General features: G+C 49.4%; 2 long non-coding RNA genes across 2 annotated transcripts, besides 1 other annotated feature; one reads left to right on the top strand and one right to left on the bottom strand.

Moving 5' to 3' along the window:
• On the top strand, window positions 2,101–13,298 carry LOC105369623 (uncharacterized). Its single transcript, XR_931588.3, has 3 exons — window positions 2,101–2,533; window positions 10,868–10,935; window positions 13,202–13,298. It is a non-coding gene; the product is annotated as an uncharacterized LOC105369623 (long non-coding RNA).
• Window positions 2,434–3,004: an enhancer, noted in NCBI's record as "H3K27ac-H3K4me1 hESC enhancer chr12:6289294-6289864 (GRCh37/hg19 assembly coordinates)". NCBI's record gives its function as "activates a minimal SCP1, AML or CMV promoter by ChIP-STARR-seq in primed H9 embryonic stem cells {active_cell/tissue: H9 hESC(primed)}" and the evidence as "EXISTENCE:reporter gene assay evidence [ECO:0000049][PMID:30033119]".
• On the bottom strand, window positions 9,106–11,560 carry LOC105369622 (uncharacterized). The gene is made up of 3 exons (XR_931587.3): window positions 11,477–11,560; window positions 10,580–10,792; window positions 9,106–9,820 (listed from the first exon to the last, which is right to left on the bottom strand). It is a non-coding gene; the product is annotated as an uncharacterized LOC105369622 (long non-coding RNA).
• Window positions 13,299–13,416: the final 118 nt, after the last annotated feature.

The raw sequence follows: 13,416 nt of genomic DNA, 5'->3' as shown, positions 1-13,416 counted from the left end.
GTTTGTTGGTTGGTTTGTTTTTGAGACAGAGTTTCACTCTTATTGACCAGGCTGGAGTGCAGTGGCGCAATCTCGGCTCACTGCAACCTCTGCCTTCCGGTTTCAAGCGATTCTCCTGCCTCAGCCTCCTGAGTAGCTGGGATTACAGGTGCCCACCATCACGTCCGGCTAATTTTTGTATTTTTAGTAGAGACAGGGTTTCATCATGTTGGCCAGGTTGGTCTTCAACTCCTGGCCTTGTGATCTGCCTGCCTTGGCCTCCCAAAGTGCTGGGATTACAGGCGTGATCCACCGCGCCCGGCCCATGAGTCTTTTTTGAACGCTGTTTTCACAATCTGCAAAAAGGGAAGGAAAACGCCTACCTGTCTGGATCATCATGGGAGCCCGGAGAAGGCATCCTGCACTTGTGAATGCCCCACACATGTTGCTTCCCTTCTCTCTGCTCCAGGCCACGCCCTCTGGATCCCTTAACTGCTCCTTATAGGGGAGGTTTGGAGGCTGCCCCAATGCTCTGTGCTGTTTCAGATATGCAGGAGGACCCACATCTGGCCTCACGAGATGGGCAGCCCGTGACCGCCTGGAGGCTTTTTCTGCTGCGAGTTGGGATGGCCTTCGCCCTCAGTCCTTCCCCCGCCCATCCTGGGGCCTCCCACCCAGGCCTGGCCTTCCCTCCTACTGTTCTGGTCACACTGCGCCTGGTTCAGCTGAAACCACACTCTTCCCACCACGCAAACCCCACAGATGCTAGCGCTCTTGCTGGGCACAGAAATACTGTGTTATTTTTAGTTCTGGACCTGGTCCAGCACACGGCACCCCTCCCTACGTAAACATGCCTGGATCTGCAAGTTGTTTTCCCAAATCCTTAGAGCCGCGAGAGCGCACTCACTCACGACAATTGCATGAGCTCTGCTCACATTTCTCCCCGCAGCCACCCTGTTGCCTCTGTGACTCGTGTGCCAGCCTGTACACACGTGTTTCTGCCACACTCTCTGAAGGGTCTCCCCAACTCCTCCTCCATCCCCTGTCCCCATCCCCTGTCCCTTCCTCCAGCGGAGGAACTGTCCCAGGAAAACCAAGCTGCGGGGAAGCTGGCAGAAGGAAGACATTATCTGCTTCTTGGCCTGTGAGGCCAGCTGGGGAAGATGTGTTTCTGCACCTCACAACACACACCCTGCCAGGCCAGCCTGCCTTCTGAGGCAAAAGCCGTTAACCTCTCTCAATTTAAACTTAAGATGAACAAGCAAACAAGCGACTCCTTCTGGGACAAAGAGTCTTCAACCAACCCAGACAGAAAACCAGGTTTCTCGACTGGGACCTGCTGGCTTCCCCATGCCCTGCAAAGCACCTCTGTCTCTCCAGGCCAGCTGGGTTCACGCGTCTTCCGCGTGAATTCACTGTCAAGATGGCTCCTTCCTGGGACTGCCCCACTTCTAATCCTGGACTAGACGTTCCTTGAGGGCATGGGATGTTTTGCTTTTATTCCCTCTTTTACCCCCAGTTTCTTGGGGGTAAAACCCAAACTCATTAAAGCCTAAAACCCAGTGTCTCCACCATATAGTGCACCTGCCACTGCCATTTCCCAACACACACACACACACACACACACACACACACACAGACACACAGACACATATATAGATACACACACACGTACAGACACACACACATAGAGACACATAGACACATCATACAGACACATGCACATACAGACACATACACATATAGATACACACACACACACATATAGGTACACACATACAGACACACACCCAGGAACATAGACACACACACAGACACACACACATAAAGACACACAGACATCATACAGACACATACACATACAGACACACACATACACACATAGATACACACAGACACACACATAAAGACACACAGACATCATACAGACACATACACATACAGACACACACATATAGATACACAGACACACACACATAAAGACACACAGACATCATACAGACACATACTCATACAGACACACACATATAGATACACACACACACACACACACACACACACACACACACACAGACCCTGGACTCGTGGGTGTTTCTTGGAAAGGATGGGGGCACTCCCGCTCTCGCCTGAGCCCTTGCTGCTTCCTCAGCCTGGATCCTCTCCCCCAGGATCCACATGGCTGGTTCTGTCCAATCCTTTGGGCCTCTGCTCCCAGGCACCCTTGTCAGAGGTGGCTCACGCAGCCCAGCCCACCGGGGCCTTCCCTATCCCCTCCCCTGCTGCTGTGCCTCCTTGGCCCTCATCGCCATCTGACAGTGTGCACTCGACTGTTGTGGCCTTTCGTCTGCCTCCTTCACTTGAATGGGAGCCTCCTGGGGCAGGGGCTGCTCCTTTTGCTGCTGTTGCATCTCCAGGCCTGCAGCCAGGCCTGCCCCGCAGTGGGTGTCAACACGCTCTGTGGAACGAGGGACGGAATGAGGGACGTGAGTGATCTGTGTGGATGGAGGAGTGACTTGCAATGGAAGCCTGCCAGCCAAGACAGCTGGGCCCCTGGGTAAGTGGGCACGGTCAGGGGAGGGTGGGGCATACGTGGCTGCCCATCAGCCAGGCAGGACACACCGAGTGGTGCCGGGAGGGCTGGTGTGCGGGGGCTCCCCAGGAGGCTGTGCCAGGCCCGGCCAGAGGTGAGGGTCCCTGGCTCATCGGCCTGAATTCCTGCCCTTCCTTTTCCTGTCCAGTGAGTCAGCCGGGCTGGGGAAGCACGCCAGGGAAGTGGCTCCTGTAGGGAGTACAGAGGGGTTAAGGGTCAACAAAACAAGAACTTGCTCATCACCCCTCCCATGCTGCCTGTCAGGGTGGCTTTTTCTGTTCCTCCCATCTCTGTCTCGGTCACGGCACACCTGTTGTGTTGTGTCCCCCCAGATTCCTATGTTGAGGTCCTCATCCCCGGTGCCTCAGAATGTGAACTTAGTTGGTGATAGGGTTGCTGCAGAGGGAATTAGTTAAATTAAAATGAGGTTGGACTAGAGGAGAGTGGGCCCCTAGCCCTCTATGATTGGGATCCTTTATAAAATAGTGCCATGTGAACATGGATGAAAACGGAAGGCATTGTGCTCAGTGAAATAAGCCAGTCACATCAGGACAAACTGTGTGATTCCATGAAGGAGCTGCCTAGAATAGTGAAATTCATAAACAGATGGTAGAATAGATGTGAGCAGGGGCTGGGAAATGGGGTATGGAGAGTCAGTGTTGAATGGATGTGGAGTTTCCGTTTGGGATGATGAGAAAGTTCTGGAGATGGAACGTGACACAACATTGTGGATACACTCAAGGCCACTGAACTACTTAAAAATGGTAACTTTTAACACACACGTGAATGCCATGTGTAGAGGGACACATACAAAGGGAAGCTGATTGAAGACAGGGAGAATGCCATCCACAAGCCAGGAATGCCAAAGACTGCAGCAAACCCCTAGATGCCAGCGGAGAGGCATGGGACGGACCCCCTCACAGTGCTCAGAAGGAGCCTGGAGGCTTCTGGCTTCCAGAGCTGTGAGACAGTACATTTCTGCTGTGTAAGCCCCCTAGTCTGTGGCATTCTGTTACTGCAGCCCCAGAAAATGAATACAATGCATCTCTGTGGCTCATTGGTGCCTCCTCTCCAGGCCCTCTGGTTTCTGGAATGCAGGGAAGAGTGGGGAGGGGCTGGCCTGTGACGCCTCTTTCTGCTTTTGCCTTTTTCCCTTCGTTTGTTCTTGGTTGCTCCTTCCCTCCATGGCCTCCTTTTCCTTCTGTCTTCCCTATAGCCTCGTCACACTTGTTATTACTTGCTCAATGTGTCTCTCCTGCTGGACTGGAAGTCCGGGAAGCCAGTCCTGGGCCCTTGGGAGCACTCAATACCTACGGGTAAATGAATGGATGGGGAAGGAAGGAGGAGGGAAGGAGTGGCTGGCCCTGGGGCCTGCTCAGAGACGTTTTGACAAATTGCCTGTTCTTGGAATAGCCAGGGGCAGTTGCAGCCTCTGACCAGCCTCTGACCAGGATGAGCAGTGTGGCGTCTCCTGGATGAGACGGCTCCCACTGCAGAAAGTCTGGCTGGGGCTGCTTCAGGCAACCCTGGTTCTGTGGGGTCAGGGCAGGCATTCTGGGGGATAAAGCCTTTTCCTCAGGTCCCCTGAGTCAAACCTGGTACCGTCCAGCAATAGAAAGGCCAAGGAGAAAGGTTCCCTTGTTGTATAAGGCAGAGCCTGGAACTGGATGGGGAGAGGAGAGTATGGAGTGAATATGGGGCACACATTCCTCTTTCTCTTTATTCCTGCCCCATGACGCTTCTCCATTGTGAGAGTGGGGGAAAAAAGGAATGGGAAACAAAGACACAAAAGTCTTCTCTTTTATTCATTGGTTGATTCAATAAATATTTATGGGCTGACTATGTGTCTAGTACCATTAGGCCGAGGATGGAGAGATGAATAGACCCAGTCTCAGACCTCAGGGAGCTTGCGGTACGGACAGGGAGACAGACAAGTGAACAGCCTTAGAACAAGGCCATGGCTGCTCCGATGAGGCCTGTGTAGACGGCTGTGGGAACAGAGGAGATACTCTAAGTGCAGAACTTGGTGAAGGCTGAATGAAGGAGATGCCATCAGAAAAAAGCCTTGAAGGGTGAATAGGAGGTTGACATGTGAAGAAGGGGAGAGGGTGGAATAGGGAAGGTGTGATACAAGCAGAGGGAATAGGGTCTGGCAAGGTGGGAAGTTGTGAGAGGGCTATGCAGGTCTGGGGGTAACTGTCACTTGGGCATGGGGATGGTGGGAGGCCACTAGCAGGAACCAAGGTCGTAGGGAGAGAGTGTGTCGGCTCATGCGTGCCTGGTATGCCATGCCGGAGAACCTGGGCTTGCTCCTGAGAGCATGGGGAGTGAATAGTGGCCTTAAGTGGGTGTGCTGGCTATTTAGTTTGCCCTGTCTCCCCTAGCCCCTCCATTCTCTATCCTCCTCTGACATCTCTACAGACTGCTCCAGCCAGGCTCCTTTGCCCACTGGTTGGCGGGCAGGAAGAGAAAGAGACAGGGATGTCTGTCTCCCACTGCCTTGTCCCATTTCTGACGGCAGCTGCCTTCCTCTGCGACCACAGCTCCTGTCGGGCTCCCCCTCCCCTGGCTCCAGGTGGCATTGACTCTGGTGATAGATACCAGGCAGGCGTAGGTGGTAAAGGCTTCAGCTGTGGCTGGTCCTTGGGTGCTTCACCACTTCTACCCCCATCACTGTAAATCATCCCTGATTTAAGCTCTCTTTAGAAAACCCCTTTGGGTGTTTCACTTCTCTCTGGAATCCTGCTTGATGCAGTAGGAGTATGGCTTAGTCAGCATTTGGTGGGGAAAATCATCCTGGTGATGGTGGAGACTGGAGCTGGGGAGAGATGGAGGCAGCAATGCTAGCAAAGACACTGTTAAAAGTGCAGGTCAGGGCTGGGCACGGTGGCTCACACCTGTAACCCCAGCACTTTGGGAGGCCGAGGCAGGCGGATCCTGAGGTCAGGAGTTCAAGACCAGCCTGGCCAACATAGTGAAACCTTGTCTCTACTGAAAATACAAAAAAAAACAAAGTGCGGGTCAGGGCTGGTGGGCCGTCATCGAGGCAGTGGCAGTCGGGCTGGAGAGCAGGGTCAGAGCTGGGAGGAGTTCTGAATTAGAGCTGTAGAGCTCTGGTGATTTATTGGGTAGATGGGGGAGTGAGCGGTAGGGGAAGATGAATCCCTTCGATCGTAAAAGACCGATGGTATCGGTCCACAATTGCTACATAACTAACCATAAAATCTGATATTTCCAATTCAAACTCAAGACTATGAAGTTCTTACTTAACCTCTTCTATCTCACACCTGTGTCCCCTTTGTCTCATGTCAAGAATTTCAGTCTTAAGTACCCTAAGGATGATAGAACATACGCAGGCCTTTGCTTTATCCCGCAGTACATACTCGGCAGTTCCGGAATGACAATACCAGCATTATCTTCAATGATATGATCATTGAAAACACTTACAATTTTCCCCATGTCTTCTCTTCCTTGAGATAGAATGCACTAGGGATGTACAGTTGAATTTTGTACTTTCAAGTCACTTGGAGTACTGCTTCTCTAGTCACCAAGAAGATTACAGTTAAGTTTATTTGTTTTATTTTTAATTTCAGAGCTTGCTTTTTATTATTTTACTTTTTTTTTTTTTAGACAAAGTCTTGCTCAATTCCTCAGGTTGCAGTAGAATGGCATGAACAGGACTCACTGCAGCCTCGACATCCTGGGCTCAAGTGATCCTCCTGCCTCAGCTTCCTGTGTAGCTGGTACCACAGGTGAGTGCCACCACATCTGGCTAATTTTTTTTTTTGAGATGGAGTCTCGCTCTGTCGCCCGGGCTGGAGTGCAGTGGCGTGATCTTGGCTCACTGCAAGCTCCGCCTCCTGGGTTCACGCCATTCTCCTGTCTCAGCCTCCCTAGTAGCTGGGACTACAGGCGCCCACCACCACGCCTGGCTATTTTTTGTTGTTGTTGTTGTATTTTTAGTAGAAACGGGGTTTCACCGTGTTAGCCAGGATGGTCTTGATCTCCTGACCTCGTGATCCACCCGCCTCGGCCTCCCAAAGTGCTGGGATTACAGGCATGAGCCACCGCGCCCGGCCACACCTGGCTAATTTTTAAAATTTTTGTAGAGATGGGGTCTCAGTATGTTGCCCAGGCTGGTCTTGAACTCCTGGGCTCAATCCTCCCGCCTTGGCCTCCCAAAGTGCTGGGATTACAAGTGTGAGCCCCCACACTTGGCCCCGAGCTTGTTTCTTAAAAAAAACCTATAAGATACTTAATGATTCCAGAGTGAAATCTACAAAATGAAGTATTAATGCATTGATTAAAATATTAGCTTCTGTCTTGGTGTCTCTTCTCCCTTGCTTCCTTCATCTCCTTCAATTTAGTTTATGGTTTATTATTTTATTATCTGTTTTATGAAATGTAAGATATCTATCTATATCTATATCTATATCTATTTTTTTTTTTTTGAGATAGAGTCTCGCTTTGTTGCCCAGGCTGGAGTGCAGTGTCTCGCTCTGTTGCCCAGGCTGGAGTGCAGTGGCGCGATCTCGGCTTACTGCAAGCTCCGCCTCCCGGACTGACACCATTCTCCTGCCTCAGCCTCCCGAGCAGCTGGGACTACAGGCGCCCACCACCATGCCCGGCTAATTTTTTGTATTTTTAGTAGAGACCGGGTTTCACTATGTTAGCCAGGATGGGTCTCGATCTCCTGACCTTGTGATCCGCCCGTCTCAGCCTCCCAAAGTGCTGGGATTACAGGTATGAGCCACTGTGCCCAGCCCATATCTATATATTTTTTACCCCTCTTTTCGTGGATAAGTGGAAACATTTTGCACACATCTTTCTCCATCTTGCTTTTTTCACGTAGGGATGAAGGCAGCCCTCATTTCTCTACTTCTTTATTCAGTTGCGTGGTATTCTACTGCTTAGTTGATTTAACAGTTCCTTACCAATGGATATTTGGGTTATTTCCTGTCTTTTGCTATTACAAACCTGTTCATATGTTTTTCTGTTTTTTAATACACAGTATCTATGGGATAAATGCCCAGATAAATTCTGAATCAATGGTTAAATGCATATATAATTTTGCTACACATTGCCAAATTCCTGTAATGGTTATACCATTTTGTATTTCCTCTAGCAACATATGAAAGGGCTAATCTCCCTGTAGCCAAAAGAGTATAGTGTCAAACTTTTAGATTTTTGACAATCTAAAAGTTATCTTAGTGTAGTTTTTTTTTTTTTTTTTTTGAGACGGACTCTCATGTCTCGCACTGTCACCCAGGCTGGAGTGCAGTGGCGGGATCTCAGCTCACTGCAGCCACCACCTCCCAGGTTCATGCCATTCTCCTGCCTCAGCCTCCTGAGTAGCTGAGATTACAGGCACCTGCCACCATGCCTGGCTGGGTTTTTTTTGTATTTTTAGTAGAGATGGGGTTTCACCGTGTTGGTCAGGCTGGTCTTGAGCTCCTGACCTCGTGATCTGCCCGCCTTGGCCTCCCAAAGTACTGGGATTATAGCCGTGAGCCACCGCGCCTGGCCATCTTAGTGTAGTTTTAATTTTTCATTTCTTGTATTATGAGCAAGGTTGAACATTTTTTTCATAAAATTGAGAGCAGTTGTTCATTTTGCCAGCCCATTTATTTCTACAGGGTTACTGGTTCTTTTCTTTTTTTTGAGACAGAGTCTCACCCTGTCACCCAGGCTGGAGTGCAGTGGTGTGATCTCAGCTCACTGCAACCTCTGCCTCCGAGGTTCAAGCAATTCTCCTGCTTCAGCCTCCTGAGTAGCTGGGATTACAGGCACACACCACCATGCTGGCCAATTTTTGTATTTTTAGTAGAGATGGCGTTTCACCATGTTGGTCAGGCTGCTCTCGAACTCTTGACCTCAAGTGATCTGCCTGCCTCAACTTCCCAAAGTGCTGATATTACAGGCGTGAGCCACTGTGCTTGGCCTCTTTATTTTTAAAAGTCCTTTAATATTTGGGACAATGACCCATTCTCTATGAACTTGGTTGCAACTGTTTTCTCCATTATTTTCTTTTTCTACTTTGTGTATGGTATCTTTGGCTATATTACATATATATATATATGTAATTAAATTTATTTACGTTTTCTCACAGAGAAATTTACCTATCCTTTCTTTTTGTTGTTGGTTTTTAAAACTCAAACAACATGGGTTGAATACCCATCCTTTCTTCTAACACTTGTATCATTTCATTTTTTTATATTTAGATTCATGATCCATTTGGAACTTATTCTGGTATATGGTGTGAGGAATGGATCAAATTTTGCATTTTTTTCCATATGGCTGTCCAGGCATCTGGCTCTTATAGTTGCCTTCTGAGGTTGTGGTGTATATACTAATAAGGTGAAATTATCCAATGAGAGCAGGTTCAGGGAATCACAGACAAAGCCACTGAATCCACTTGAGGCAGATTACAGTGTTTAATTCATTTTTACATATTTTATTACCTTTTCTTACAGGTAGCCTACTTAGTTTTTATTCATTTTGCTGATAAATCAATTGGTAAATGAAAATAAATTTATTAACCAACTACTACGCATTGTTGCAGTGGATGGCTACACATGTGCATAGTTGGGCCATTTAGCATCTGTTCACCCTCTGGGTAAAAGAGTACCCAAATTTCCCTTAATAACCTATCTGGTCCCACCCTCCGCCCTTGTGGTTTAGGGGGATTGATCTAGCACTGTGAGTTGGCCTCAATTAACCAAAGCCATATTCCGCCTTCACAGTAACAGTAAGGGGTTCCTGGAGGGGCTTGGGCTTCTACTGGAACCCAGGGGACTGGAGCTGAGCCTTCTGAGAGGGAGGCAGGGTTCTTCCCCGTGGACTTGAACCTGGAAGCATTGAAGCCGGAACCACTATCTCCATTCTGTCATCACCTGTGGGCTGAGAAGATCTCAGCTCCAGGAGACCATGAAAGCTGAGCGGAGAACAGGAGAGAAATCAGGTCTTTGTTGTGTATGAACCCCAGACAGGATGCGCAGATGGTGGTCCAGCCTGATGCTGGGCTTCTCAGCTAAAAACCCAATACTTGGTTTCTATGTCTTTGTACTTGCAGCTGAGAGGGCCCTAAATGAAACAGTAGTCATCATTAGGTTTTCCTGATGTCCTAGTGTTTTAGGGACGATGCCTCAGGTAGAAAGTGTAGTGGGATGCCAGCAGAATATCATTTCTCCCAGGTAGCCTAGCTCCTTCCATCGGAGGTCCTCGTTTGTGAAACAGCGTCAATAACACTGCCTATCATTTTGAAGAAAAAGTGAGAGAAGGTGTATTAGTCTGTTCTCATGCTGCTATAAAGACACACCTGAGACTGGGTAATTTACAAAGAAGACAGTTTTAATTGAGTCACAGCTCTGCCTGGTTGGGGAGGCCCTCAGGAAACTTACAATCATGGCGGAAGGCGAAGGGAAAGCAAGCACCTTCTTCACAAGGAGGCAGGAAAGAGAGTGTGAGGGGGGAATTGCAAAACACTTTAAACCATCAGATCTTGTGAGAACTCCTTCACTGTCACAAGAACATGTGGGAAACCGCCCCCATAATCCAATCACCTCCCATCAGGTCCCTCCCTCAACACGTGGGGATTACAATTCAAGATGAGATTTGAGTGGGCACACAGAGCCAAACCATATCAGAAGTAAAGGTGAACTGTAAAGAGATCTTCAAATTTTAGTGACTGTCATTATATGATAGGCTCCTTGAGGGCAGGGACAGTGGGCTTTTGTGTGTGTACCCCTGAGGTGGCTAAAGTGTCTCACACAAAGCAGGTGCAGTGCTTCAGTTTGAATCAAATTGAATGCTTCTCATGCTTATTCTTTCCATAGACAGCTAAAGAAAACAGAGTCACAGAGAGATGAGAGATGAAGCCACTGGCCAGGAGCACACTCAGGGATTCTGTCCCCTGCCTCAGGCTGAGTCCCGCAGTCAAACTCTGTCCCTCTGTGAGGCTGAAAGACATGGGAGGAGGAGGCTCGTCCAAGGGCCAGCTTTGTCACTCACCTGCTGGGTGACTTTGAGCAAATCCCTTCCTCCCTCTGGAACTTCAGGAATCACTTCCTTGTCATTCACACAGGGTCAATCTTCACCTTATAAGTACCCGCGGGTTCTATATACCGTCATTTGAAGAGTAGAACATGCCTTGCAAGTGTGTTTGCTGCATCACACGGGTAGAGGCCAAGCTGCAGGCTGCCTTGCAGGCCTGCTTAGACGCTCCTGTGGGTAACCAGGGGCGGTGATTCAGGGCGTACCAAGTACCTGCGTCAACGTGATTCGCTTTGATTTTCCCAGGCCGTGAGATACTTCAGACAGACACAATTTCTCCCAGCGACAGGGGAGGAAGCCGAGGCCTTGAGAAGGTGAGTGACTTACTCAAGGCCATCCGGCTCATTAGAGAAGGAGGCAGAACTCACACCCGTGTTTTATGACTTCCAGTTCAGGCCCATCACAGACCTCCATCCATCTGCAGGAAAGCAAGCGGCCCTCAGGGACTTGCTCATGGAGAATGCTCCATATATGCCGAGGGGATGGGCTCCGAGGAAGCCAGATTGTCCCAGGGCAATGCTGGCCTGGCCACTCTGGATGGCCGTACTGGGGCCCAGCTGGCGGGGGCACTGGAGGCCCGTGTTACCCTGCACTCTGTTTGTGGGGTGGTATGCCCAGCATTCCTGGCAAAGGTTGCGATGCCTCAGCAGGGTTGGGTGAGCAGCTGTCTGGGGCGGCGAGGGGAAGCGGACAGGCACGCCGTCTGTTTTGCTGGGCCGTGCGTGGCTTTTCCGGGCATTGTGCTCACCAGCGTGCCCCGGTCATGAACACTGAGACCAGGATGTCTTTGTAGCGATCACAGCAACACCCTGTACTTCCCCAACATTCCAAGGAGGCCCCAGGCATGGCACTTACAGGAGGTATCCCAGACGCCGCCTTCCTCCTCCTCCTCCTCAACTCCATCCTCCCCAGGAGGAGGCAGCCATCTTCATGGCGTGATGTGTGGGACCTGGAGGGCATCCGGCCAACAGAGCTCTCCCGTAAGGCAGTCCTCCTCCCACAGGTTCTTATCTCTGAGCCATGTGTTCTTAACCCCTATATTCTGACTTGGACACTGCACTAAGAGTTTTAATTACGTTCTTGATAGTTCTGTGACATAAATGCTATTGTTATCACCTGCCCCCCCTCCCCCCCCCCCCATTAATATAAAGGAGACGGAAGCTTTGAGGGGTCTATATCAGCAGTAAGTGGCAGAGTCAGGACTCAAACCTCACGGGCCAGAGGCTGGCATCTGTGCTTCTTTTTTTTTTTTTTTGATATGGAGTCTTGCTCTGTCACCCAGACTGGAGTGCAGTGGCGTGATCTCGGCTCACTGCAAGCTCCGCCTCCCGGGTTCACGCCATTCTCCTGCCTCAGCCTTCCGAGTAGCTGGGACTACAGGCGCCCGCCACCACGCCCGGCTAATTTTTTGTATTTTTAGTAGAGACGGGGTTTGCACCGTGTTAGCCAGGATGGTCTCGATCTCCTGACCTCGTGATCCGCCCGCCTTGGCCTCCCAAAGTGCTGGGATTACAGGTGTGAGCCACCACGCCTGGCCGTGTCTGTGCTTTTGACTTCGCTGCTGCACTGCCCTGTTATGTAAACCTGGTGGGTTGTGCTTTGGAGATGGGTAGGGATGGAACACAGCCATTCATTCAAGAGTATTTTCTAAAATAATAACTTTCTTACTTTAGAACAATTTTAGAGTTATAGAATTATAGTGCAGGGAATTCCTGTATACCCTGTGCCCAGTGTCCCTATTATTATTAATTTTTTAAATGTTTTCCTTTTTTTTTGGAGATGGTCTCGCTCTGTCACCCAGGCTAGAGTGCAATGGCTTGATCTCTGCTAACTGCAACTTCCTTCTCTTGGGTTCAAGCGATTCTCCCACCTCAGCCTCCCAAGTAGCTGGGATTACAGGCACCTGCCATCATGCCCAGCTAATTTTCGTATTTTTAGTAGAGACGGGGTTTCACCATGTTGGCCAGGCTGGTCTTGAACTCCTGACCTCAGGTGATCTGCCTGCCTCGGCCTCCCAAAGTGCTGGGATTACAGGCGTGAGCCACTGCGCCCAGCTCTATTTTTCTATTTCTTTTTCATCCCTTTTCACCATTCCTAATGTCCCCTGTCATTAACATCTTACATTAGTGTGGTACATATGTCACTGTTAATGAACTAATATTATTAACTAAAGTGCACACTTTATTCAGCTTTCTTTTTTTTTTAACCTATTGCCCCCATTCTGTCCCAGGATCCCACCAGGATTCTATATTACATTTAGTCATCATGTCTCTGTAGGCTCCTCTTGGCTGTGACAGTTTCACAGACTTCCCTTGTTTTTGGTGATCTGGACTATTTTGAGAGGTGCTGGTCAGGATTTTGCAGAATGTCCTTTAACTGGGATGTGTCTCATGTTTTCCTCTTGAGTAGACTGGCGTTTGGGTTTTGGAGAGGGAGACCACAGAGGTAAGTGTCATTCTCATCCCATGATATCAAGGGCACTATCAACGTGACTTATGGCTGTTGGTGTTCACCTTGGTCACCTGTTTCTTTAGTGTAAAGCTATTCTTTTCTTTGCTCCCTTTCCATGATGTTCTGAAGAATCATTTTTTGAGCACCAAAAGAAGAAACTGGTGGCGGGGCGCAGTGGCTCACACCTGTAATCCCAGCACTTTGGGAGGCCGAGGCGGGCGGATCACCTGAGATCAGGCATTCGAGACCAACCTGGCCAACATGGTGAAACCCCATCTCTACTAAAAATACAAAAATTAGCCGGGCATGGTGGTGCATGCCTGAAATCCCAGCTACTCAGGAGG

The sequence above is a fragment of the Homo sapiens genome, chromosome 12, assembly GCF_000001405.40.
Source record: "Homo sapiens chromosome 12, GRCh38.p14 Primary Assembly".
Taxonomy (NCBI): Eukaryota; Metazoa; Chordata; class Mammalia; order Primates; family Hominidae; genus Homo; species Homo sapiens.
This window is presented reverse-complemented; position numbering and strand designations above follow the sequence as displayed.